General features: G+C 46.2%; 1 protein-coding gene and 1 long non-coding RNA gene across 14 annotated transcripts in view, besides 4 other annotated features; one reads left to right on the top strand and one right to left on the bottom strand.

Moving 5' to 3' along the window:
• The window catches only part of CD247 (CD247 molecule), an 87890-nt gene that overhangs the window by 38178 nt on the left and 23127 nt on the right, over window positions 1–26585 (top strand). The window lies entirely within an intron of this gene.
• Window positions 1520–25683, bottom strand: LOC101928512 (uncharacterized). 8 transcript variants are annotated; one of them, XR_007066724.1, is made up of 4 exons: window positions 25154–25286; window positions 23235–23347; window positions 22831–22983; window positions 1520–2121 (listed from the first exon to the last, which is right to left on the bottom strand). It is a non-coding gene; the product is annotated as an uncharacterized LOC101928512 (long non-coding RNA). The 8 variants fall into 8 exon arrangements; XR_002958381.2 differs by lacking the exon at window positions 1520–2121 and adding an exon at window positions 21873–22183 and having other exon boundaries at window positions 24861–25683; XR_002958382.2 differs by lacking the exon at window positions 1520–2121 and adding an exon at window positions 21873–22183.
• Window positions 24463–24692: a silencer, noted in NCBI's record as "silent region_1529". NCBI's record gives its function as "represses an Ori minimal core promoter by ATAC-STARR-seq in GM12878 lymphoblastoid cells {active_cell/tissue: GM12878}" and the evidence as "EXISTENCE:reporter gene assay evidence [ECO:0000049][PMID:35858748]".
• Window positions 25033–25122: a silencer, noted in NCBI's record as "silent region_1528". NCBI's record gives its function as "represses an Ori minimal core promoter by ATAC-STARR-seq in GM12878 lymphoblastoid cells {active_cell/tissue: GM12878}" and the evidence as "EXISTENCE:reporter gene assay evidence [ECO:0000049][PMID:35858748]".
• Window positions 25213–25302: a silencer, noted in NCBI's record as "silent region_1527". NCBI's record gives its function as "represses an Ori minimal core promoter by ATAC-STARR-seq in GM12878 lymphoblastoid cells {active_cell/tissue: GM12878}" and the evidence as "EXISTENCE:reporter gene assay evidence [ECO:0000049][PMID:35858748]".
• Window positions 25323–25432: a silencer, noted in NCBI's record as "silent region_1526". NCBI's record gives its function as "represses an Ori minimal core promoter by ATAC-STARR-seq in GM12878 lymphoblastoid cells {active_cell/tissue: GM12878}" and the evidence as "EXISTENCE:reporter gene assay evidence [ECO:0000049][PMID:35858748]".

Below are 26585 nucleotides of genomic sequence, written 5' to 3'. Positions count from 1 at the left end.
GCCTCATCTCCACTCCTTCTCCAACTAAATTAACCCTATTCTTTTTATTTTTATTCCACTTTCTAAACGGTTTCCCATTTTCATCGCCCTGCCAAGACCTCAGCAGCTCTCTAAACCAAACACTGAAATGCTCAAAGTGAGAAAACTGTTTCTTTCTCTCCAGGGCAGGATTGTGTCTTAACTGTGGGGCTGCCCTGACAAATCACCTTTAACTCACAGGTCTACTATCCTTCCAGATCTAAAGAACGTCGGCCTAATCGGTTCTTGGCCTATTTTGGAACGGGGCATCAGACCATATGCAGTGGCCATTGAGTAACAGTGATCCAGCCCGTGCTGTTTTGGATTCTGAGTCCGCTCTCAGCAGCAAGCTAGATGTTTTGGTCTGGGGCATATGAGGCAAAAGAGAAGTAGAAAATGTGGCTCTGCAGTCACGAAGCTCATGCCAAAGGGGAGAGGCACGAAGCAGTAAAGAATGCAGTTGTGCTAAATTATTTGGTGCAGGCAAAGAACTGGCGTTTGCAGAAGCCCAGTGCCCCTGGAGCAACCTCAACCAATGGGTAGAATGTGGACTGGCAGGAGGAAGGGGCATTCCAAGTCAGGGATCAGCGGCAGTCCAGACAGGGAGAGGGTAGGTGTTGGTGAGTTCCCAAAGGTGTGGACCTGGCTGGATGGAAGAGATGTGGACTGGGGACACAGGTGGAAAGTGAGGTGACCAGAATATGAGGCCCTAAAAGCCACATGATGGGGAGCGGGGAGGTCTGTGATGTGATGCAAAAACAAACCTGAACTCCTGGGGTGATTTTTGAACAGGGGGAGGCATGGCCACCGCTGGGCCGTAGTGTGTGGCAGATGGAGGCGGATATGTCACATCATGTAATCGCCACCATTGTGTGGTCACAGAATCATGGTCGGGGAAACTAGATCAGCAGGTCTATGGGGCCCTTCAAGCTAATCTGGACTGAACTCCTTTTTTAAAAATGTCTTTTTAGTTTAATTTTCATTTCCAATTAATCCCACTCCTCCCCGTTTTCAAAGTAATGCACATGTAATTTAGAAAACTCTGAAAGTACAGAAAAGAATACAGAAACAAACAATTTCTCATCCACATCCCCAGAGTAACCATAACCAGTGCCACCTGTTTCCCTCCAGTCTGCATTTTCACGTGCTACTTTCTTTACATGGTTGGGATTAAACAGTATGAATAACCCAACTGTCCATTAGCTATGTGAGTTTGAATACTTTTAGTAACAGGATGGTTTATCTTTTTTGGTAACTAGGATCTCACTACATTTTTAGGTATGCCATGCCTTTTTAAATAGAGAGCAAAATAAAAATGTTTTTCCATTATGAAGTAATATATGCTTATCTAGAAAATATGCAATATTAAAAACTGTAATACTTTAAATCACTCATAATCCAACTGTTCAGAAATTACCACTGTGAATATTTTGGGGTATTTTCTTCGAGTATTCTTCCAAAATAATATGCATTTTAAAAACAAAATTGGAATTACACCATATACAATTTGAATCTTGCTGCCTTTATTTATCAAATCATAGATGTTTCCATTTCCACCTCACATTTATTGAGTACTTAGCATGAACCAAGCTATTTAAAGCATTTTACCCATATTAATTTACTTATTCCTCACAACAACTTTTTGAGATAAGTACAACTTTTTAATCTCGCCTTCACAGACAAGGTAAGAGGCACAGAAAGTAGGATTTGGAGACAAATAGTCTGACTCCAGACTCTGCGTTCCTGTCCACACTACTGCCTCTCCAATTGGTTTTTAGTGAAACTTCCTTCTACCAATCTGACCCGTGTTCCACTGGTCCTTGTTCAAACCCTCGAAGCCCCCCACCAAACACACACACATACACAAGTCCAATCTCTTTTCCATGAGACAGCCTTTCAAATAGGAAAGCAGCTTTAAAGTCCTCAAGTCTTTTCTAAGCTTAACATTCTTATCTCTGCTATTCTTCATGTTCCGAAGGCCCTTTGCCATGTTAGGTACTCAGGCAGGTCTGGTTCTTCCATGTCCCATTAACTGCGTAGCTAGAAACAAATGCACGGCTGTGGTGTAACCTGCCCAAGGAAGTCTGGGGTCAGCCTCTCCATCTGTGTGTGAGAGACATCAGACAGCTGTCAGTGTAGCCGGAGCTGCACTGGCTTTTCCATATAGCAGCTGTGCTGCAGTAAACACAGTGCTTCTCCACATTCTTCAGCCCCTCACAGCTCTATGGTCTGGCTCGTCTGGCCTTTTGATTCTTTGCCTGGTCCTGCAGAGCACAGCCCAGAAGAAAGGAAGAGTTGCCAAGGGCTTTAGCTCAGCTGGGCTGAGAACTTTCATGACATCCTGGTGGGGACCAAAATAGTCATCAGGACAGAAGGGGAGACCCAGGGCTGGTCACAGGATTGGCAGCAGGGCCAGCAACTGCCCCATCAGCACCAGCATTTCTCCATATGGCTTCCAAGTTTTGCACTAAGATATCCCAAGAAATTATCAAGACTTCAGAGCCAGGCCAGGCACAGTGGCTCACACCTGTCATCTCAGCACTTTGGGAGGCCAAGGCGGGGGAATTGCTTGAAGCCAGGAGTCTGAGACCAGCCTGGCCAACATAGTAAAACTCCATATACACAAAAAATAAAACATTAGCCAAAAGTGGTGGTGCACACCTGTAGTTCTAGCTACTCGGGAGGCTGAGGTGGGAGGATCACTTGAGCCCAGGAGGTCAAGGCTGCAGTGAGCTACGATCTGCTGTGCTGGAGCGCCACTGCACTCCAGCCTCCTGGGTGACAGAGTAAGACCCTGTCTCAAGGAAAAAACAAAAAACACTTCACAGCCAGTGTGCCAGAGTCCAAGCCCACAGGAGGGATCAGTGAGGAAGGAAGCTCTGGGCACTGGAACTACACAAATGGCACTTTCAAGTCAGGACCATCTTCCATCTCTGGGTCTGTTTGGAAAAAAAGAAAAGCAGCTTTGTTTGTCTTTCTTCTGGCACTGACCACTGGAATTTGGGCTCAAGGCAGGCTCCAGGTAAAATTGTCAAGGTCATGGGCTTTGTTCTTAACGTCTTCCTCCCTTTTGCTTTCTCCTGGCCCAGCCGCTCCTATTTTCTCTAAGGGTCCTGATAGAGGAGGGAGAGTAACCTGATAATTTCATATTAAGGCATTCCAGGTAGGCAGAGGTTTAATTTGTCACCCCTCTCAGAGTAATATCCTTTTAACAGTAATCTCTTGGATTCCAAAATGCTTCTATCTAAAAATATTTTCAGCAGGAGGAGAGCTTTCAGCTATCCCTCAAATTACAACAGTGGGGCCAATAGCCTCTTCCATCTATGTATGATAAGAACAAATACTACAAATTTGGCACTGTAACCTTTACATCTTTGCCCCTTAACTTCCACACGTGTGAGATGAGGATAATCATAAAACATACGGCATAGGGTTTTATGAGAATCAAATGAGATAATGCATAGAAAGCCCTTAGAATGAACCTGAAACATAATAAACCTTCTATATGTGTTAGATGTTATTATTATTATTATTTTGAGACACAGTCTCACTCTTGCCCAGGCTGGAGTGCAGTGGCACAATCATAACTCACTGCAGCTTTGCCACCTCAGCCTCCCAAGTAGCTGGGACTACAGGCATGTGCCACCACGCCTGGCTAATTTTTCTATTTTTTTGTAGAGATGGGGTTTCACTATGTTGCACAGGCTGGTCTCAAACTTCTCAGCTCAAGAGATCTGCCCGCCTAGGCCTCCCAAAGTGCTGGGATTACAGGCGTGAGCCACCATACCTGGCTGCTAGCTATTATTATCACTATGAATTGTTATTTTAATCACAGAGAAGAATCCTATATATTATACTATTTTATCCTCACAAAAATCCTGTGAATTAAGAATCATTGGTCCTATTTTATAGATAAAGAAAGAAAATTAAGAGATTAAGTATGCAGCTAAGTAAGACATGACACAGAGCCAAGAGCTCTCTGAAAGGCTCATTCTATTTGCTTGGTAGGGCTTGGGGAGAGTGCACAGTGGGCCATCCCTGGGCCTGGTGTACCAGAGGGTATAAGAGAAGCCAAGATTCAGAGTCCACCCTCAGGAAGCTCAGCAGAATCTGAGAAGGTGTCAGCAGCCCAAGAAAGGCGCCATTTCAACCCATAATGTTATAGCGCTTCACTTCTCACCAACTGCTTTTCTTCTGAAGGGGGACCCCAGGACTATTTTCCAGGACAACTCTTCCTGTTTCAACATGTAGAAAAGTAAAGAAAATAATATAATAAACTACATATACATACGTTAGTGTGTATTTCCAAAAGATAAGCACCCTTTAAAGAAAAAAAATATATACTATACTACCATTATCCCTCCTACAAAATTTACAGTAATTCCTTAATATCATCAAATATCAAGTTGGTGTTGAAATAATTTCTCTGTCTCATGTTTTTTACTTCACAGTTCATTTTATCCAACAAAGACAGTTTCTCTGTCTCTTGCATATCTAGAATTCCTTCCCCCACAGCCCGACCCCTCTCTTTATTTCTTTGAACTGTACGAAGCTAGGTTATTTGTGCCACAGAATCTCCCACAGTGTGAATTTTTGCTGATTGCATCCCTGTGGTGTCATTTAACGTGTTCCTCTGCCTCCTGTGTTTTTTCTAAACTGGCTGTTGAATCTGGAGGTTGATGGGATTCAGGTTTAATGTAGCAAGAACATTTCAAGGTGGTTATTGTACTTTCCTCAGGAGGCTTGTGATGTGTCCTGCTCTTTCTTTTGGTGACACCAAAAGCCACTGATAATCATTGCCTAGAGCCTCTATTTCATTAGGGATTATCTTTCCTTTTTCATTTGTTTGCTGGAATATTTCTATAGAGAGAAACTTACCCTTGTTAACTATTTGGTTACCCTGATAAATGCCCAGGATAAGTGTTCGATTTCTTCCCTTTATTTATAATGATTTATTATTTATAGATAAAATGACATGATGCCTGTGATTTGATTCAAAATAATCCAGGGGAGAGGGGACTGGGTAGGGATATAGAAAAACAGGAAGAGCCGTGAGCTGATCATCGTTGATGTTGTGCGACAGGTGCACAGAGGCTCATTCTACTATTCCACTCTTATGTGTGTTTGATAATTTTATAATAAAAATGGTGGGGTTTTTTCCCAGTAAAAAGTTAAGTAATAATTTGGTTCCTTAGCATCCTCCAAGGGTGAGCAATAAGTATGTTGGTTGGTTGGTTTTAGGGTTGTGATAAATGTAGGAACATAAAAATATTTGACAGTTTTGCCGGGTGCGGTGGCTCACACCTGTAATCCTAGCACTTCGGGAGGCTGAGGCGGGTGGATCACCTGAGGTCAGGAGTTGGAGACCAGCCTGGCCAACTTGGTGAAACCTGTCTCTACTATAAATACAAAAATTACCCGGGCATGGTGGTGGGCGCCTGTAATCCCAGCTACTCGGGAGGCTGAGGCAGGAGAATCGCTTGAACTCGGGAGGCAGAGGTTGCAGTGAGTGGAGATCGTACCACTGCACTCCAGCCTGGGGACAGAGCAAGACTCCGTCAAAAAAAAAAAAAAAAAAAAAGACAGTTTTAACCCATGGCAGTCGTTTTTCTTATATGCTCAAGTTGTTCCATCGTTGGCCAGTGGGAGCCTCTTCAAGCTGGCTCCCAAATACTTTTTGAACTGAGTCCAGTAGTCTTCGCTGGTGTCTGTGCTTTCAGCGGGCCAAGGTGTCCCATTTGTGTGCATTTCCTTCCCAGACCGGGGGCTCAGCCAGTTTTCTGAAGTAGGGCTCTTGTCTTTCACTAAAGATCTTTTCTGTGGCATGACTCTCATCATTCCTGCCTGGCCACTGTTATCTAAAAAGATCTCTTTGAGCCTCCAGTTAGGTTCTGTGGCCAGAAGCAGAATTTTTCTCCCCACACCCCAAACAAGTGTGCCTCTGCCACCCTCTAACCCCACTACCGCTACCCTCCCACCCCTACCCAAGCAGGTGTCTCAGTGATGCGTTGACTGTGCTGGTGGGTGGGTGGAAGGGAAAGGAGATTAAGGAGATTAAAATCTGACTTTAAAGTCTCAGGCAGTAACTTTGCCTGAGGCTGGCTCCCCCTTCCCAGCCCCACCCCCAGACTCAGAGCCAGGGAGAAGAAAAAGAGGGCAGTGAGACTATTCAGTATCTCTATCCATCTATAATTAGGCAGATTTCTCTTGCGAATGAAATCAGAGAGAAATATTTAGGAAGAAGGAAGTGGGGTATCTCTGGTTCACACGGCTTTATCTAGTCTTCCGGGGGTGGTGAAGGGAGAGGGTGTGCAGAGCAGGCAGAGCCCTCCAGAGACAAGTACAAGATGAAAACGGCATAGAAGACCAAAAGGGCACAGGCCAGGAGCAGCCATCAGATATGCAAGGTGCAACCAAGTAGAAGATGAGAGTGTAGTGGTTAATTTCCAAGGCCAGAGCTAGCAGATCCGTGAGTCAGTGTGACAAGGAGGCTGGTGACCAGTAAAACCCCCCAGCAAAGGAGTGAGGGGCTGCAATGTGCAAGAAGGGGTTCCCCTTCACAGTGAGAGCTCCTCAAAGTCTGGGGGGTCTCCAGTCAGGAATGCTTAGGTGAGGGGTTTCTATACCCTGACCAGACACACATCATAATCTTGCAGAGCACAGTGACCCTTGGCTGAAAGAGAGAACGTGGACTTGCCTGTGGCAGAGCAGAAAAGACCTAGGACTCCCAGTTCTGCACGAACTCCCCAGCTGTGTGAACTTGGTCTGGGCTGTTCCTTCCCATTTTTTTTTCTAATGGGAATAATAACAGCGCCTCATTCTCAAGCTGCAGTTGGGGTTGAAGGAGTTGGCGAGAAGCTCTGTGAATCACTGGCTGTGAGCGCGGCTAAATGACATTTCTCCTAGTAGCCTGTGGGCGTGGGTGGTCTGCAGGTAGGCAGGAAGCAACCTTATTTTCGAAACAATATGCAGGTTGCAGCTGCCCTCAGATGGGCCTTGGAGGAGAGAAAGGCCCAGAGAGAAGGAGATGGCAAGCAGGGAGCAGGAGAAACCACACTTGCCCCCTGGGCGGTGGAGGGCAGCTCGGGACAGCTGGCTATCTCAGGTCAGAGAACCACCCAGAGGGTGTAAGAGGGAGTGTGAACACAGAACCACAGCTCTTCAAGGAAAGGCCTCAGAATAGATCTCCCTGTAAGACTACAGATGGGTGTGTGTGTGTGTGTGTGTGTGTGTGTGTGTGTAAAACTTGAAGAAGACGCCTAAGGAGTAGACATCTGATATCCTTCAAGGCCCCAGCTGTAGAATACTTGTGTGGGCTGGAGGGCAAAGGTGGTCAGGCCAGAGGAGCAGGTGGGCAGGGGCTGCCGGGAAGGCCAAGGAATTCCACACACTAGCAAATGTTCACTGATCTTTCATGCAGGCAACACAGGTGTGGACACACAAAGAATCCTCTCTAGGCCATGGGGGTCACTAGGCCATGAGGACACCAAGCCGAACAGGCCCTCACAGTGTGTGGGAGTGGCAGGATCAGACACAAGAGGGTCAGACACAAGATTAGTAATGTTGTGTCTCCCTCAAGAATATCTGCATATTTAGAGCGCTTCCAACAGATGCCTTTGCCCACTTTGATTTTACTTCTTTAAAGAAAACTGTGATAAATACACAATCTGCAGTAGGACCTGACTTCAACAGCCAGCAAAATCCTAATAGATGTGCAACAATACCCTCCCTCACCCAGCTATGAAACAGAATTCTTCGCTTCGTTGTTACTGTCCCCTTGAAAAAAAAAGTCCACATTTTGCTTTCTTAATTGTAATGCATTTAAATAGATAAAATAAATTTTGCTAGACTTGCTTTCCCGCATGTGCACACACTGTGTGTGAGTGCATACAAACACATTTGGCCATAGGCATAATTCTGCCAACCTGAACTGCAGCCTAAAACACTTCCTAATTTTTTTATTGTGAGCGTTTTATCAGGACATTGAAAATAGTACCCCCAAGAAAATATAAGTGAATGATCTTTGATCTCAAAATGAGGAAAGATTTTCTAAGCAAAAATCTGATGACTTAAATTTCAACTTCTATGTGCCAAAGACACCAAATAAAAGGTAGATGGTAAAGAGGGAAAATATTCACAGTATATACCATAGGAAAAGGATGAATCCTTAATATGTAACACGCTCTTAGAAATCATTTAGGGCTGGACACAGTGGCTCATGCCTGTAATCCTAGCACTTTCGGAGGCTGAGGCGAGTGGATCACCTGAGGTCAGGAGTTTGAGACCAGCCTGGCCAACTTGATGAAACCCCATCTCTACTAAAAATACAAAAAATTAGTTGGGTGTGGTGGTGGTCACCTGTAGTCCCAGCTACTCAGGAGGCTGAGGCAGGAGAATTGCTTGAATCCAGGAGGCAGAAGTTGCAGTGAGCCGAGATCGCACTACTGCACTTCAGACTGGGTGACAGAGCAAGACTCAGTCTCAAAAAAAAAAAAAAAAAAAGAAAGAAACAGAAAGAAAAAAAAAAGAAATCACTTTGTAAGAGGGTACATCAAAAGAAAAATAAAGCCGAGTGTAGTGGCTCATGCCTGTAGCTCCAGCTACCCTGGAGGCTGAGGCTGGAAGATCGTTTGAGCCCAGGAGTTCAAGGCTGCAGTGAGCTAGGAACATACCACTGGACTCCAGCGTGAGAGACAGAATGAGACCCCCATCTCTAAAACACATAAACAAAATATAAGCAAAAGTCATCACCACACAATTCATAAAATAGGAAATACACAGGGTGAAGAAAACACATGAAAAAAATGTTCAACATTGCTACTATTCAAAAAAATGCAAATTTTAAAATTAGACTATTTTTGCTTACTGGGTAGGTTGAGTTGTTTTGTTTGCTGTGTGTCTGTTTAATGATAATACCCAGTGTGGTGAGAACACAATGAATTAGAGTCTCTCAAAAACTGCTGAATGTAAATTGGTTTTGTCTTTCTGGAAAGTAAGTCAGCCCTAAGTTTAAATAGCCCAGAAAATTTAGAGCTGAATTACTTTCCAGAAAGATAGAGCCAATTTTCTTTAAATTTAAGGGTGAGTTACTTTCCAGAAAAATATATTTGTCTTTTAGGGTACATGTTTCCATGTGTCTTAATTTATTCTGAAGAAATAATCACGCTGAGCGCAGTGGCTCATACCTATAATCCCAGCACTTTGGGAAGCCGAGGCAGGCAGATCACGAGGTTAGAAAATCAAGACCATCCTAGCTAGCACGGTGAAAACCCACCTGTACTAAAAATATAAAAAATTAGCCGGGCGTGGTGATGGGCGCCTGTAGTCCCAGCTACTCGGGAAGCTGAGGCAGGAGAGTTGCTTGAACCCAGGAGGTGGAGGTTGCAGTGAGCCGAGATTGTGCCATTGCACTCCAGCCTGGGTGACAGAGTGAGACTCCATCTCAAAAAAAAAAAAAAAAAGAAAGAAAGAAATAATCAGTGGAATAAAATATTTGTGTTCAAGGATGTTGACTGCAGCACTATAATACTAAAAATCAACGATAACCTGCATTTCTAACAATAAGGGCATAGCTGAGTAAATTATTATACATAGCAATACCTCAAAATAGTCAAAAAATAGGTAATACTAAGAAAAATCAAACAAACACAAACCCTAACATATGATCCTAATTTTGAAAAAAAGGAAAGCAGTAGAAAAAAACATTAGAAGAAAATATAGCAAAATGTTAAAGATTATGTTTGAGTGGTTGGTTTTTGGCTAATTTTTATTTTCTTTTCCACGCTTTTCTGTATTTTCCTTGTTTCTTTTTTTTTTTTTTTTTTTTTTTACAATTAACATTTTTACTTCTGTAAGCCCAAAAGTCATATAGGAAATAAAAAAAATATTTCCCCCAGTTTTGGATTGAGAAATCAAATTCTTCCTCATGTTACCCAATGACCCTGGAAAAGGCAGGTTTGCTGGGGGAGAAATAAGGAGTTCTGCTTAGGACAAGTAGAGCTGAGTTGTCCGTTAGATATTGAATGGATGTTCGAGTCTGGATTTCAGGAGAGAACTGGGGCTGTAGATCTAAATGGTGGGGTCAACAGTATACGGATGATATTTTAAAGTACTGAGAAAAGGCCAGGCATGGTGGCTCATGCCTGTAATCCCACCACTTTGGGAAGCTGAGATGGGTGGATCACCTGAGGTCAGGAGTTCAAGACCAACCTGGCCAACATGGTGAAACCCCATCTCTACTAAAAATACAAAAATTAGCTGGGCATGATGGCATGAGCCTGTAATCCCAGCTACTTAGGAGGCTGAGGCAAGAGAATCACTTGAGCCTGGGAGGCGGAGGTTGCCGTGTGCCGAGATCGCACCATTGCACTCCAGCCTGGGTGACGAGAGTGAGACTCCATCTCAAAAAAAATAAAATAAAATAAAATAAAGTACCGAGAATGAATAGATGAAATCACAAAAGAAGTGTGTAAGATTAGAGAAGAGGTCCAAGGCCTGAGTCTTGATTCTCTCCAAGACATCTAGGAGAGGCAGAGATGCCATCCAAGGAGGCTGTGCCCCAGTGACCATAGGAGGCCAATCACAGGCTTTCAAACAGCTCTGTAATGACTAGGACATATTTATTCTAGAACCTCAGATCATTTGCTTGAACACTTTCCTTTATCTCTCACTCTGCTTTCAGGCCTAATTATTGGAAGAAAAAAAAAGGGGTGAGGAGGGGAGATCTGCATTGTTCTTGAAAATAAAATCGCTTGGAAAACAGAAAATGTCAGATTAAAAAATGCAGAGTCAATGCCCGTGACTGTCTTAATGAGTGTAGTTAAGTGTCCCAACATCAACAAGAACCACTTAAGCATACTGGGAAGTAATCCAATGCCAGAGGACAGGGAAAGACTCGATTTCCTTCTCCAGTGAATTCCCTTGTTTAACTGGATCTTACAACTGAAAATCAAATACGTCTCCATCTTCCAAGACAACTCCTTAGCTCTGTGGGCCCATGGTTTGGATCTGGACATTTGGACGATTTAAATGGACTCAGTCCCACAAATGTATAAATGCTTCTTGCCAAACTTTGGGAGGCTGCACTTTTTGGGAGGCTGAGGGGGGGCAGATCACTTGAGGTCAGGAGTTCAAGACCAGCCTGGCCAACATGGTGAAACCCTGTCTCTACTAAAAATACAAAAATTAGCCGGGCACTGTGGCACACACCTGTAGTGCTAGCTACTCGGGTGGCTGAGGCATGAGAATCACTTGAACCCAGGAGGTGGAGGTTGCAGAGAGCTGAGATTGTGCCACTGCACTCCAGGAAAAAGACAAAACAAAGCAAAACAGATCACGTATTTTTTAGTGGTAGGAACTCCTGTTTTTTTTTTTTTTATTGCAGTTTGCTCTTCTCTATGTTTGGGAATGTAGCTTCCTTTCCCTGCTTGGAAGGAAAGAGAGCACTTTATTTTTTGGTTCCCTTAATTCACAACAAATCAGCCGGGTGGAGCATCTCAGTCTAGGAGCGACTGCATGACTGGGAATTTTAGCCACTGTGGATTTGTTGGTTACAATTTAGCAGAAGGCAGGGCTAAGAACAAAGGTGGGTAAAGAAAAGTGAGGGTTCTCAGCCTTGGTTTCCCTTTACTGGGAGCAAAGTATCAAGGGTAGAAATACCAGCCCTTCCCAGGTGTCTGGTGAGTGCCTGAGATGAGCCAGGTGACCTGAGCTCTCTATGCAAGTCACTGACTGTAACTGAAGGAAGAAGACTCTAAAACAGTTCCTGCTGGGCTACCAGGAGGCTCACTTTGAGGAGTCTTCGAATTAAACTGATTGATGGTCTCTCTGTGTCTGGAAGAGGTGTTTTGGCTTCATGTCAGAGCTCCCATCAGAGAGGCCTGAGCTATGAGAGGTTTGAAAAATGATTCAGAAGAAAAAATTGACTCTGTTCAATAATAAATTATAACGATGCTTTGTATTTATAGAGCATCCTTCAACTGAGGGAGTGCGAAGTTCTTTATGGGTATTAACTTGCCTTTCTCACAATAGAGAAAAGATAATTTTGTCAATTCAATATTTGTGTATCTTTTTTCTTTCCTTTTACTGGGGGAGGAGGACAGCTATTACAGGGACGTTTTCTTATATTAATTTGGAGGCAATAAATCTTCCCCTCATTTTTTTTTTACTGGAAATCTTTTCTCATTGGGTATCACATAAAGAATTAAAAATAAATAGCTATGCCTAAAATGTATGTGTATGTGCATTTATATGTCGGTGTGAGCGTAGTATCTTCATAAATATTTAATTTTTACTGTCTAAGCCTTCTCCCTCAGTTTTCATGAGCTAGAATTTATTCGCCACTGAACACTGAAGCTATTATTATTTGCTTTTGCGCCTAAATGATTTAAAAGTCAATTATGAATTGGCTAAGGGGATTGGAGAACTCTGGCATGTAATACGCCTCTCATGCTTCTATTTGTTACCAAATGTCTGGAATGAGAAAGTGTCCATGATGGGAAATAGCCCACAGAAGTACCATACCGTTATTAAACCGACCAGACGGAGGCCCTAGGTCACTGGGATACGAGCAAACTGTGCTGGGGTTCATGTGGGTGGGTTAGGAGGCTGGGGAGAGCATGACAGGGGATGTGCAGACAGACAAATAAATCCGATAATAAAGCAGAAGCTCAGAACTGTCCAAAATGATGACTGAAAGCCAGCAGCCCAAGGAGAGGCTGCTCTTAACAGCCAGCCCCCAACGCTTAGGGCTGTGCTCTGCACCAACCTGCCCTAGTGTCCTGGGGAGGGAACGTAAACAGTTCAGCGCTTTCTATTTAACTGCAAAGTGCTCATCTTCTGAGTCACCGAGGCAAAGAAGCAGGCTGGAAAGTAGTAATAATCCAATCCAACAGAATTATCTGTTGAACAGAAAATCCCCTTTGGAATTTGTGTCCTTGGAACGTTCCAAATGGAAAATGAGAGTTTTCAGGTGGGAAAGCAAGGCATGGTTTCATGAGTCAGGGTGACTCTGCGTTTGCATGAAGGGCCGCAGAAAAGCAGATTATGTTAACCTTGAAATTAGCCAGGAGCGAATGGCAAATCTTTGTTAACAAGCTTGGAGTCCACGATAAATTTTAAAAGTGCACCGCAATGAGCATCTGTAATAAATCTTCCGTTGCCTCCTGGTTCAGGTCTGGGACTGAAAAGGATAAAGGGGCCGGGCGCGGTGGCTCACGCCTGTAATCCCAGCACTTTGGGAGGCCAAGGCGGGCGGATCACGAGGTCAGGAAATCGAGACCATCCTGGCTAACACGTGAAATCCCGTCTCTACTAAAAATACAAAAAATTAGCAGGGCGCGGTGGCGGGCGCCTGTAGTCCCAGCTACTCGGGAGGCTGAGGCATGAGAATGGCGTGAACCTGGGAGGCAGAGCTTGCAGTGAGCTGAGATTGCGCCACTGCACTCCAGCCTGGGCGACAGAGCGAGACTTCGTCTCAAAAAAAAAAAAAAGAAGAGGATAAAGTACTTCTAGAACAGGAGCTAGGCCTCCCGAAGCCTTTGCATGTTAACTAACTAATCAAGGGGCTCCAGCCTGTTGGGCTCACATTGCCTGGTCTTTACTCACTTGACTTTCCACAGGCCTCGCTCTTGAAAACTGAAATTGCTGCATGGCATTCATTACACACACGTATGTATATATGTGCATATGAAAATACATTTGCATAGGTACCTATCCATATGTATATACACACATACACACGTTTTTCCTCATAAATGAAACTGGATTAAATTTTATTTCCAATATTCAGGTGACTCTTAAAACTGAGGGGAAAAATTGGGGATAAAAAGCAGGACAAGGCAATAATTATCCTGTAGCTTATCTCAAAATGGAAATTTCCCCAACAACATTAGTTCTAAATTCTAATATTTAAAAAAAAAAAGACGAATGTGGTACAGTATTAAAATGGACTTACATTTAATACACAGAACATCTAGCAGCTTGGATCAGTACAAACTGATTTTTTTTCTAAAGGCTATCAGAGTTAATTGGCAAATAGTCAGAAAACTGTGCAAGGGGGAGGAATTCTTCTGTTTGTGCATTTGTTTGATTTTAGGTACTTCTAAGTGCTGTGATTGGTAGTAATACTGAGATCTGTGCTGAGCCTCGAACTCCAAAGTTGCAACTCAAATCCCTGATAAAGTTAATTAAGTCTGAGTCTTGGGCTCTGCAGCTAGTTGATGCCAGAATAAATCTAACGTGTTGTCAGCAGACTGAACCAGAAGAGCAAAGCTCCAAAGAGGAATTTCTATGCAGTAAATATCACTTAAATTCCTCTCAAAGTTGGAGCTGGTGTCAAAGTCCAGAAAAGCAATATTCCCTGGCAATTGCTGTCAGGAGTGTGTGCATGTGCCTGGCCATGCATCATCTGAACACTCAAATTAGCAGAGGAAAAAGATAGTGAGTTAATATCACCCAGCTGACTGCTCAAAGAACTGCTTTAACTGTAGCCAGAGAAATATGGAGGGGGCATGGCCAGTCATCAATGACCTCCAAATGACTAGATGCTCAGAAGTGTCTGGCAGCCTAGGCTAGATAAATAATTCCTGCTGCTGTGAAATAAATAAATTCCCCCAAATAATTCAGGGAAACCAATTCTTTCACTGCCCAGTTGCTGAGCTACAAGAAACTAGAGCAACACTACAGGTGAAGAAGAAAGAAAGGGGCTGGGTGCGGTGGCTCACGCCTGTAATACCAGAACTTTTGGAGGCCTAGGCAGATGGATCACCTGAGGTCAGGAGTTCAAGACCAGCCTGGCCAACATGGTGAAACCCCGTCTCTACTAAAAATACAAAAAAAATTAGCCAGGCATGATGCCGGGAGCCTGTAATCCAGCTACTCGGGAGGCTGAGGCAGGAGAATCGCTTGAACCTGGGAGGTGGAGGTTGCAGTGAGCTGAGATCACCACTGCACTCCAGCAGCCTGGGCAACTGAACGGGACTCCATCTCAAAAAAAAAAAAAAAAAAGAAAAAGAAAAAAAAAAGGAAGGTGGAAGGCATCTATGAGTGACTTTCTATCTCACTGATCTCCAGTTTATAAGGGACTGGCCACTGGAGGCAGGTTGGCCTAGCAGGGTGGTGGGGAGGGGGCTGGCGCCTTCTCCAACAACTCTGTGTATGAGGCTTGTAAACACATGATTCTCTGTCTGGATAGGTCTCTGAAGGAGAAGAAAGGAGGTGGGGAAGGAAGGAAAGAAATAAATATATGGACAGGAAGATTGAGTATTGGAGGGAGAAGAGAAAAAGCAAGAGATAGTGAAACCAATAAAAAGGAAATAAACGTAAAATGGAGACAGAGGGGAAGAAAGAGCTGGAATAATACTATGTGGCTCTCTAAAAGTTGCTGCAGTTTTTTTTTGTTGTTATTTGTTTTTTGTTTTTGTTTTTGTTTTTTACAGAGCACACACTGCAGATAAATAGTGCGATCTTGGGGCCTTTTCGGTAACTGTACTTCTATTCTTCTTTCCCTTTGCTTTTGTCTAATTAAAAGTGTCTGCCTTTAAAACAGAGACAATTGAAGTTTCAAGTTAGTGTTGTCATCTTCTGTCCCCAGGCATTTCAGAGCTAGAAAAACTACAGGCAAAATTCTCTGTAGATCCTTTTTGTACCCCTCTTCTTCTACTCACCCTGTTTCCCCAGCTTTCTACTTTTAGAATAGGAGTGGGGGCTGAGAAAGATAAAAATAGCTTTTGAGAATTCAAGTTATTTGGGCCCCTGTTTTGGGAGCCAGCATCCTTGTCCAAAGCAGAAAGCAGCCAGTCCTGAGTTTGAGGGAAGCTTCTCCCCATGGAGTTTCCTTAGGGGACTATTTCTGAGCCGTTCTTGGAGGAAGCAACCCCTAGAGATGTTCAGAACTGGAACTAAACCCATCTTCCCCTGAAGAAAAACAGGTTTTTAGGAACCCATCACTCAGCAGGGAGCCCTCTGTGTTTGGAGCCAAGTGTTTGGGGAAACAAATAAGCTGCCTTCAATCAGCCTGAGTTGGAAACGCAGGAAAACCGCATCTTCATGCTGGACTCCACTGCAATCCCAAGGTGATTTTAGTTCAAGGAGAGTGGCATCTGCTTGGGGGAAATTAGAAACTTCTTATTTCCATTTATAAATTAGGCTTTACTAAGGAAGAGAACTTAAAAACAGTTTTATTGTTGTCCACTGAAAAGACAATTACTTCCAGCCACAACTGGCACATTCCATGGTAAAACTAGCGCAATCAAACACACAACACTTTCCACCGTAGGGGCTTCTTTTTGAGGCTGTCATTAAAGGCATGTGTCTTATTAGCCAGTGTCAGGATTTCTGGGATGTTTTATTGTCTCGAGTAATGAGAAGGCCATTTCCAGGGCTGTGTGCTTTTTAAGTCAGCAAACAAAACATTAAAAACAAACAAACCTCCTTTTCTTTGTCACCATTTCTCTGACCATCCCCTGTAAATTCGTAGGACACGGTACTCACAGAAAAAGGAAAATTCATTAGCCAAATGAATCGCTGATTTAAATTCAGGCAATAGGTTGACATTATCCTTAATTGAATAGTTTTAGAAAATGAATCTATGTAGATCCAGATCAAATTCTAACCAATCATTACAATGGGGTCTTTTTTCTTGAATGTTCAAAGTTGATTTTCCTCCACAAAATAATAACTCTTTGGTGTCCAAGTAATAAATTAGCACAGTTCAGTTCAAGTTCCCACTAAATTGGAGGCTGAAATGTAGGATCAAGAGAAAGGAGATGCAAGTTACAAACCTAGATTCTAAATATCCCAGCAGACTAACTCCATGAAACCATCTTTTATTTTTTGTGAATAAGTGTATGTGTGTTAGCCTCCCTCTCCCTTTCTCCTTTTAAAAAAAGAAATGATGACTTTTTCAGGTCTCTGCTTCCAGATATGAGGGGCTTTAGGTATTTGAAGTCAGAAGGGAGGCAGGAATGAGCACTGCTAATTGGGTGCATCCTGGTGTGCTAATATAAAGGACAGCCAATGTAATCGTGGGTTTCTGAGTTTGCTGTCTGTACCTGGCCTGCCTGGAGACTAAGAAAGGCTTGCTGGCCCCAGGCCATAGGTCACATTGCAGCCTTGACTGTAATTCCCTGGACAATTCCTGCACCAGAACAGATAGTGTGACCTCCTATGCTAACCAGCCGAGAGCAACCCATGCTCAGTGGCAACGCAGAAAAGCCACAAACAGAACCCAGGAAGGGTTCCTGGGATGGCCCGGCGACTGCCCATCCTCCAGAGAGAGCTGGATCAAGCAAAAGAAGCAGTCCCCAAATTCTTAGGGCCAGGGATGCCAGGTAACCTGGCACCCAAGGCTATCTGAGGAGACAGGCAATGAGGCTATCAAGAGTAAAGATGGAAGAGCAAGCACAGATGATGGAGAAAAAAATAAGGCTGGTGGGAGGGAATTAAGGAGGGAAATGCAAGGAAGAGACAACTGAGAGGAAAACCAGAGGGAAGGAGTGTATCAGTCTGAAGACAGGATGACACAGGAGAAGGGGAGGATGAGGGCCGGAAGGGCTTCAGGCCTGCAGGGAGGGAGGGCAGACTTTTCCAGGGGGTGGGAGAATTGCCCTGGCCCCCTTTTACTGGTCCCATTCTTTGGACATTGTAGAGAGAACTCAGGTGGGGGAAATGGCCCAGCGGCGGGAACCCTGGCACACCTCTCCCAGCAGGGATCGGCCCCCAAAAGGAACAGTTCTCCTCCTTTTCTGGCTTAGACCAGGGCAGGCCCCCTGTGCAGCTCTCTCCCTTGGGTTCTCGTGTATGTAGATACACTTGTTTACACACACAGGCTCCTACACAGGCACATGCAGAGACGCCTAGGTCCCCAACCTGGGTTGTGACTTCTGTGTCGAGGAGAGCCATAGGAGGCACAGCTTTGCCAGAGTTCCTGCCCATTGCTGCGGCCTGTTCCCTAAACCACACTGGTCTGGCTTCATCGCTGGACTCACTGTGTGGCCCACAGAGGCCTCTTCTATGGTCACAGGGCCCCAGTGACATTTTGGGAGGGGCTTCAGGGACGCTGGCTGGTAACCCAAGAGCAACCCTAAATCCCAACTTGGTCCATGTCCTAGAATATCAAAGGAGAATCTTAAACCCTGAGTGGGATGAGGAGCCTCCTAAGCTTGAAGAGAGCCAGGTGGGGAGAGGGCCTGGGCTCCATGCAGGTTGGGCATCAGTTAGCCTGTGACAGTGGCCAAGTCCCATGAGACTTACACCATGCTAAATATTCAGCTTTCCTCCTGTGGGCATCCTATACTCTGTGAATTGGTCAGAACCAATCTTTAATCCAGCATCCTATCAGGCACACCTCCCTCCTGCTGCTGTGTGCCTGAAGAATGCAGAGTGATTTAGATATTCATTGACCTAAAGTGCAACTAAGGTTTGAGGGTGGGGGACACAAAAGGGAGGTTAATACAAGGCATCAAAAATGTACTTTGACTATTTTCTCCTTTTTTTTTTGAGCCTGTCGCCCAGGCTGGAGTGCAGTGGCGTGATCTCGGCTCACTGCAACCTCTGCCTCCCAGGTTCAAGCGATTCTCCTGCCTCAGCCTCCTGAGTAGCTGGGACTACAGGCGCCCACCACCACAGCCGGCTAATTTTTGTATTTCTGGTAAAGATGGGGTTTCACCATATTGGCCAGGGTGGTCTCGAACTCCTGATCTTGTGATCCGCCCGCCTGGGCCTCCTAAAGTGCTGGGATTACAGGCGTGAGCCACCACGCCCGGCCGACTATTTTCTCTTATTTCAAAATTACATATTCTTATACACTATGGAACTTGGAAAATAAGGGAAAGCATAAAGAAAATTTAAATCACCCATAATTTCACAAACCAGAGATGAAACCACTGCTAACAGTTGCTGTAATTTCTTCCAGTCTCTTTTCTACAGTGAGATCTGTATTTCTAGCTGGCTACACATAGTATAAATCTAGGTTTAGAATCAAGTAGAAATAGCTCTAGAGTGCTGCCGATGCTGCCATTGGCTCTGATAGTGGATCTCATTTATCCCTGGGTCCAGGTGAGAGGTCCTGAGGACCCAAATCATGGGACAACAGAGAGAAAAAGAGAAGAGGTGACATGCCTAGGGGCGGCCCGGCTGAGTTTGGAAGCCGCAAGGTGAACTCCCTCCCATGGGAGAAAGCTGCCATGGGAGGCGGCAGCCCAGCAGTCTGCCTCTCAGCCCACGATCGCCCACGTCCCCAGCATGTCCCCAGCGTGGCAGCTGCAGGCACGGCAGGCTTTGTGGGGCCTTTGATCCACGCAAAGTACGTCATAGGCGAATGCTCACAGCGCGTGGGCTGGGCACACCAAGGGTTGCCAAACTGACAAACACACCTCCAGGAAAGCCTTTTGGCTCTGGCTGGGCTTCATTCTGGCTGCCTGGACAGCATGGCCTGAATAGGAAACTTGCAAATGTGTGTGCCCTGTCCCCCTGGTGTCTCCCAGCCCAGACTCAGGAGTAACTCAGAGATAACTCCCCGAGAGTTGAACAATGAGAACACATGGACACAGGGCGGGGAACATCACACACCAGGGCCTGTCGGGGGGTCAGGGGGCTGGAGGAGGGATAGCATTAGGAGAATATCTAATGTAAATGACGACTTGATAGGTGCAGCAAACCAACATGGCACATGTATACCTATGTAACAAACCTGCACGTTGTTCACATCTAGAACTTAAAGTATAATTTTTAAAAAAAGAAGAAATAACTCGCCGAGGCCGTGGGAGTAGTTAGTAGTGGGGCATGGGGCCAGCTGAGAAGCTGGCTCTCCTTTCTGCACATTTTGGCACACAGGGCAGATTTTTCTGAAGCACAGGTATATTGCCCTTCAACATCTGAGACATACGGCTCTTGGTCATAATCTTATTTCTTTATTTTTATTTTTATTTTTTGAGACAGGGTCTCACTCTGTCACTCAGGCTGGAGTGTAGTGATGTGATCTTGGTTCACTGCAGCCTGGACCTCCTCGGGCTCAGGTGATCCTCCCACCTCAGCTTCCCGAGTAGCTGGGACTACAGGTGCGCACCACCACACCCAGATAATTTTTCTATTTTTTGTAGAGACGGGATTTCGCCATGTTGCCCAGGCTAGTCTCAAACCCCTGGGCTCAAGCCATCCTCCCACCTCAGCCTCCCAAAGTGCTGGGATTACAGGCGTGAGCCACCACACCTGGCCCATAATCTTATTTTTGTTCAAACTTTCAGAGGATTAGGGAGGGAGAGTAGAAAACACAGGAATGATGCCAGGAAACCTACCCTGGGTTCAGCCCCAAAGACAAGAATTCGGGGAAAACCTACCTGACTTGATCATTTATTCATTCATTAAACCCTTATGATTGCCCACTGCATGGTGGTTAGCTGGGGAGTGAAGAGTCAAAGAAGAATAAAACATATCCCAGGCTTTGTGGAATTCTCAATTTTTAACGGGGACAGACCTGTCACCAAATATTAGTGAAAAATGTGCCAAGAACTACAGAGCATCTGAAAAGTTAGAAATATTACCATAAACTTACTTTAAAACAGAACTTTAGCCACATTTTCAAATAATATGCTCATGTTTTTCTTCAACCTTCACACACCATTTCAGGAAGTATCTCTACATTTAAAGCGAGTCCAGTTGTTAATGTAAAAAAGGTACAAGAGGCCAGGGCACAGTGGCTCAAGCCTATAATCCCAGCACTTTGAGAGGCTAAGGCAGGCGGATGACCTGAAGTCAGGAGTTTGAGACAAGCCTGGCCAACATGGCAAAATCCTGTCTCTACTAAAAATACAAAAATTAGCCGGGTGTGGTGACGTGTGCCTGTAATCCCAGCTACTCAGGAGGCTGAGGCAGGAAAATCGCTTGAACCCGGGAGGTGGAGGTTGCAGTGGGCTGAGATCATGCCACTGCACTCCAGCCTGGGTGACAGAGCAAGACTTCATCTCAAAAAAAAAAAAAAAAAAAAAAGAGTTGTAAGGAAAAAGCCAGAGAAAGTAGTGTATTTCTTGAACCTTTAAAAAAAATTAACAATTGGACCCATTTCTTTACATTTAGAGGTACTTCACCTGAAAACATATCTAAAGGTTACAGAAAAACATATTGACTGTATTATTTGAAAATGTAACTAATATTCTGTTTAACAATAAATTCTCCCCATGATTTTTTTTTTTTTAAAATTTTTGAGACACAGTTTCACTCTGTCACCAAGGCTGGAGTGCAGTGGCTTGATCTCGGCTCACCGCAACCTCCCCCTCCCAGCTTCAAGCAATTCTTGTGCCTCAACCTCCCGAGTAGCTGGGATAACAGGCGCACGCCACAGTGCTCAGCTAACAGATTTTTTTTTTTTTGTATTTTTAGTAGAGACGGGGTTTCACCATGTTGGCCAGGCTGGTCTCGAACTCCTGGCCTCAAGTGATCCGCCTGCCTCAGCCTCCCAAAGTGCTGGGATTTACAGGCGTGAGCCATTGCTCCCAATTTCTCCATGATTCTTGACTTTTAGGTCACTCCATAGAACAGAAACAGATGCCCATTGTGAAGGTTCAGTGAGCCAAGATTGCACCACTGCACTCCAGCCTGGACAAGAGAGCAAGACCCTGTCTCAAAAAAAAAAAAAAAAAAAAAAAAAAGAAAGAAAGAAAGAAAGAAAAAAACAGATGCCCATCAAAAGGAAATGCATTTTGCTGAAAGTAGCGCAGTTTTCCCAGGGAAATAACATTTGAGCCGAGCCTTGAAAGATGAGTAAAAGTTCGTCAAGCTGAAAAATTTCATCGTAAGATGAGTCGAACACAGGGTCATTGTGAGCCGTTGGCTGGCCCCCGCAGAAACCTGGCAGCCCCTTTCAGGTGAACCTCCAGTCCATTCTTTATTCAGGCACCAGTAGGATGCTGTGCTGGGTGGCATTCCTGCCCCAGCAGGGGCTAGGCCTGAGTCACATGCAGGGCAGGGGCCTGGTCACAGCCTGGGGCCTCACCTGAGAAAGACCTGTGAGAAAACATCCCAATCCCACTCATTCCTGCCCACACCAGGGCTAGGCACGTGGGGACAGCAGGGACGGTGAAGAGCATGTTTGGGAATGTGATGTTCTGTGGTGGCTTGTTAGGAAATCATAAGTAGCTTTCTCCTGATGACCAGCTTGAACACTGGATCGCTGAGCAGGGCACAGGTGGAAGGAATCAGAAATTACTGTATTAACACCAGTATTTTGGAGGCACAGAAACAAGGGGTGAAGCAACTTCCCTAAGGTCACGCACTTTAGGTGATAGCACTGGTGTAGGCTCCCATAAAAATGTTCTTTCAGGTCTCTTCGAACTCATAGGTTCTTGAAAATGTGAGGGGCGAAATTCCTTCATTTTATGGCATTAATGACCACTAATCAATCAATCATTCTCTCAATTATCTGAGCAATTATGTAATTACTGAGTCCTAGTGATGCCTACAACTGGGCTTCCTACAGTCCTGCAGTGGTAGAAACAAAGGAACTAGAAATCACGGTGTTTACCTTGGAGCAACCTACAATCTAGTTGCATAGGAAAGAACCCATTTGACACAATGAGAGTAACAAAAACAACGAATGCAGTTGACATTGGAATGGGCTGGAGCTTTGGGAGAAGGAATCCTTAGGGGAAGATGAAAGCTAAGAAAGGCTTGGAGACCATCAATGGAGAGGAAGGGAAAGGACAGTATCTGGATGGAGAGCTCTGGGCAATATTTAGGAAGACTCAAGAGCGCCTGCTCATGAACAGATGGACAGACAAGCGTGTGCTCCCTCCTGAACTCACAGACTTACTGGCTCACCTCACAGCAGGGCTCCCCTTCCAGGCTTTGCAGGTGATATGGTTCCTTCTCCATCCAGGATAACTCCAGTGAAGGATGGACAGAGGCAAGATTCTAGCTCCATTTTGGCTGCAATGTGTCCTTGTTCTTTTCTCCTTTGCTGGTCATTCTGGTCTGTTTGGGAATTGGACTCGTTGTCTCTGGTCAACTAACCTCTAACCCTGCCAGGGGGACTAAGCATGCTACAGAGCGCCCAGGTCCCCCACCTCCCACTTCCATATAGCCCTGAGCAAACCACTTAGAGTCTCTAAATGGCCCAGAGCAGCTTGTGGCTCCATTCCAGGAGCAAAAGCACCGCTGAGAATGTGCGGATGCAGCCTGAGACCCCCACCATGCCAGCTCCTAGCGCTAAAGCAGGCTGGTACCTCACACTGCTTTCAGAATCTTCTAAGACACTGTGGGTGTGAGGTCTTCCAGGCAGGCATCAGCACCCACCAAGCCGGTCCTCAGAAAACGACTGGAGGTAGAGAAAGCAGGGCTGGAAAGAGACAAAGAAATTCCAGGACTGTCCTCACTAGCATATTCTAAACGAAGCAGATCTTCAGGCAGCCGTGTTAGGTATGATGTCCCCGAGAGAGTACACATTAACATGACAAAGTTTGAGGAATGAACATAAGATGGCCATGCAATGTCAAAGTCATGGCTCACTTGGGTGCTTCTCTGACAGAAGAGATAGAGTGTGGCACCAGTAGTCCCTGTTGGGTTCTGTGTCTACAACAGAGAGCTTTGGGGCTGCCCTCCCTCACAGAGCAGGCTTTCTGCAAATGCTCAGGTAGGGCTGGATATATTCGTAGAATCTTCCAGACCCATCCAACCCAGAAGGTGGTGGTCCCCGAAGAGTGGTGGTGTACATGAGAAGCTGGGGGAACGTGTTACAAGGCAGACCCCTGGGCCGGCCTTCAGAGAGTCTCATTCACCTGCTCTGGAAACACTGCTAAGGACTTGGCCTCTGCTGTGAGCCAAGAGGAGGAAAGAAACCCCTCTCACTCTAGAACTACCTTTTTCTGCCTCAACCACCTTTTTTCCTGTCTTTTAAAAATTTCCAAAATTCTCTGCATCTGTAGTTTTTGTTAAGTACTTTGTCATGCCACCTGGTTAGCTCAAGCCAGAGACAATCAGGAAAAAGCTCTATCAGTGGCTGTCAACTCAGCCACTTCCCTCCGTACCGTGGTCCCTCATTCCTGCAGCTGGGTGGGAGCCAGCACAGCCCCAGGCACAGGCAGTGCCGGCATGTATTCTCGGAGCTCCACACAGGAATGTCCCACTCTAGAAGGGAAGATAAAATTTAGCGCTCTCCATGCACTGGGTATGTGTGCCAGGAAAGCCCTGAAACTTTTGCTCACAGGGCTCAAAATGAAAGCAGCTGTTGATTCCGAGAGTGGCAGGTTTGACGACATTTGGAGTCCCCCTATGTGAGAACGGAGAGACCCCTGGCGCTTCCTCCCTGCTATCTGAGGAAGGGGGAGGGGGCGGGGGGTGGGAAGGCCCAGCCTCTCAGGGTTGCGTCTCTCCGGGGCTTCCCAAGGAGGCAGCGCCGGCCCTCCCAGTCTTGCCACTGTCGCCGTGCTCGTGTGCCGGGCCAGCCGGAGCCAGGCCCGATCCTGGCCACTGTGCCCACCACCGAAGGCAGGCCCCAGGCCGGGTCCCTCTCCTTGCCTGTCTGGGGGACCCTGGTGTCGGGCTCCTTTGATATCTAAAAACCAGACCCTCGGCCCCCAGCGCCGGAGCCCGGCGCAGATCCACGCCCTGGTCTCTCAGCGCGGGGGCCTGGGGGCGGGTGCGGTTCGGGGACAAGGGACCGCAAGTGGGGGCGGGCGGCAGCGTGTGAGCAGCTCAGATGGGAGATCACGCGCGATAACCCGGGCCCTGGATGGCAGCGCTCGACAGGAAACCTCGAGCGAGGAGCCAGCTGGGGGCCGGCGGGGCGGGGCTGCTGCTCCCGTAACCGCACGGGAGCCGCGGCTGGCGGCAACACGGGGCTGGGAGCCCACCTTGGCTGCATGGTGAGGAAGGGCCGGAGGTTCCTTCCCAGGCCCAGCCTCCTCTCTGTCTTGCGGAGGGCGTCCTTCACGGGTGTGGTTTGTGACTTTGGGACGGCGGTCCCGGCCGCCTGGGCTTTGGGCGTAGTGGGAGAGCTGCCCAGCCCGCAGTGCACCCGGCGTAGCTTTGACCCGGGAGGGACCCGGCCCCAAGCCGGACGCGGGGAGGCCAGGGCGGAGAGGCGGCGTGAGCGCGGCTTAGCAGGCTGAAGCTCGTCTCTTTAAAATCCCAGCGAAATATTCACCTATAGCGTATCGGTGACGGTTTTAAAATCCAAGTGGCATTTCCTCTCCCAGCCTCCGAAAAACTCGGTGCAGTGGGCAGCGGCTCGGCGGGGCGTCCCCCTGTGCCTTGCGTCCGGGCGGGCGGCCCGCAGCGGGAGGAGCCCAGGCGCGGGCACCGAGGGGCGGAGGCCTGGCCCCGGCTCGGGGAGCTCCGGGAGGAGCTTGGGCTTGGGCTAGCCGATGGATGCACGGGTTTCTTCCGGGGAAGCTGCGGGGGCCACAGGGACTCTGAGGAGGCGCCCTCAACAGCCTGGGACCGGCAGGACGGATCCCAGAGCGAGGGCGACCAGCGAGCGAGGCAGGTGCGGCCCTCCTGGCTCCCCCTCCGCCCCTGTCCTCCCTTGCGTTGCCCAGGCAGCCTGAGCTCCCAAGGCCCAGAGGGTCTCCAGCTTACAGTTGCAGTGGGACTGATTCGGTGGATCGGAAAAGCGCTTTCATCTCACTCGGCTGCTGGTGAAAGCATCTCGTCCTTACAGCACTGGATAATAACAATAGTGATCATGCTATTTACCAGCAGTAGTTGGTTTTCTGTGTTCATATATAAATGTAACCATATTCACCAAATACCATTATCGTGAAAGTTCTGTATAGCTGAGGTCCTTCCAAACCCCGGCAAGTCATCACCAGAAATGTACTGAGCCAGGGCTGGGCGCAAAGCGCTTCGCTAAATGGGCCAGCCCCTGTTCCTCCACTTTCTGCCCTGCCAGAATCTTGCCGCACACACCTTCTTTGATGTAAGGGTTCATGTTATTTGTTTTTGTTTTGGTTGTTTAGTATTATAAATATTATATACTATCATAGTTAGAGTTCCAAACACCACAAAAAGGTGTAAGGTGGAAAATAAGTGAAATTCACCCAGCCTCCCCCTCCCGTGGCTCCTCTGCAGAAGTAACCGTGGATGACATTTTTGTGTGTGCGGCCCTCCAGATATACATATATTTTTAACGTGTTTTTTCTTGTAAAATAATATAACATTACTATTTTCATTTTTAAGTGTAATTCAGTGACATGAAGTAAGTACATTTACATTATTGTACAATCATCAGCACTATCCATTTCCAGAACATTTTCACCATCCCAAACAGAAACTCCATCTAGATATATTTTTATGTATATATACATATATATGCAGCTTACATAGTGTTTTTTTCATACACAAGTATCTAGAGCTTTTTTTGTTTTTGTTTTTGTTTTTGAGGCAGGGTCTAACTCTGTTGCCCAGGATGGAGGGTAGTGGCATGATCACAGCTCACAGCAGCCTCCACCTCTTGGGCTCAGGTGATCCTCCGACCTAAGCCTCCGGAGGAGGGGGCTGGGGCTACAGGTGTGTGCCACCACACCCAGCTAATTTTGTTATTGTCATTATTTGCAGAGACGGGTCTTGCTATGTCT

This window comes from Homo sapiens, chromosome 1 (assembly GCF_000001405.40).
Source record: "Homo sapiens chromosome 1, GRCh38.p14 Primary Assembly".
Lineage (NCBI taxonomy): Eukaryota > Metazoa > Chordata > Mammalia > Primates > Hominidae > Homo > Homo sapiens.
This window is presented reverse-complemented; position numbering and strand designations above follow the sequence as displayed.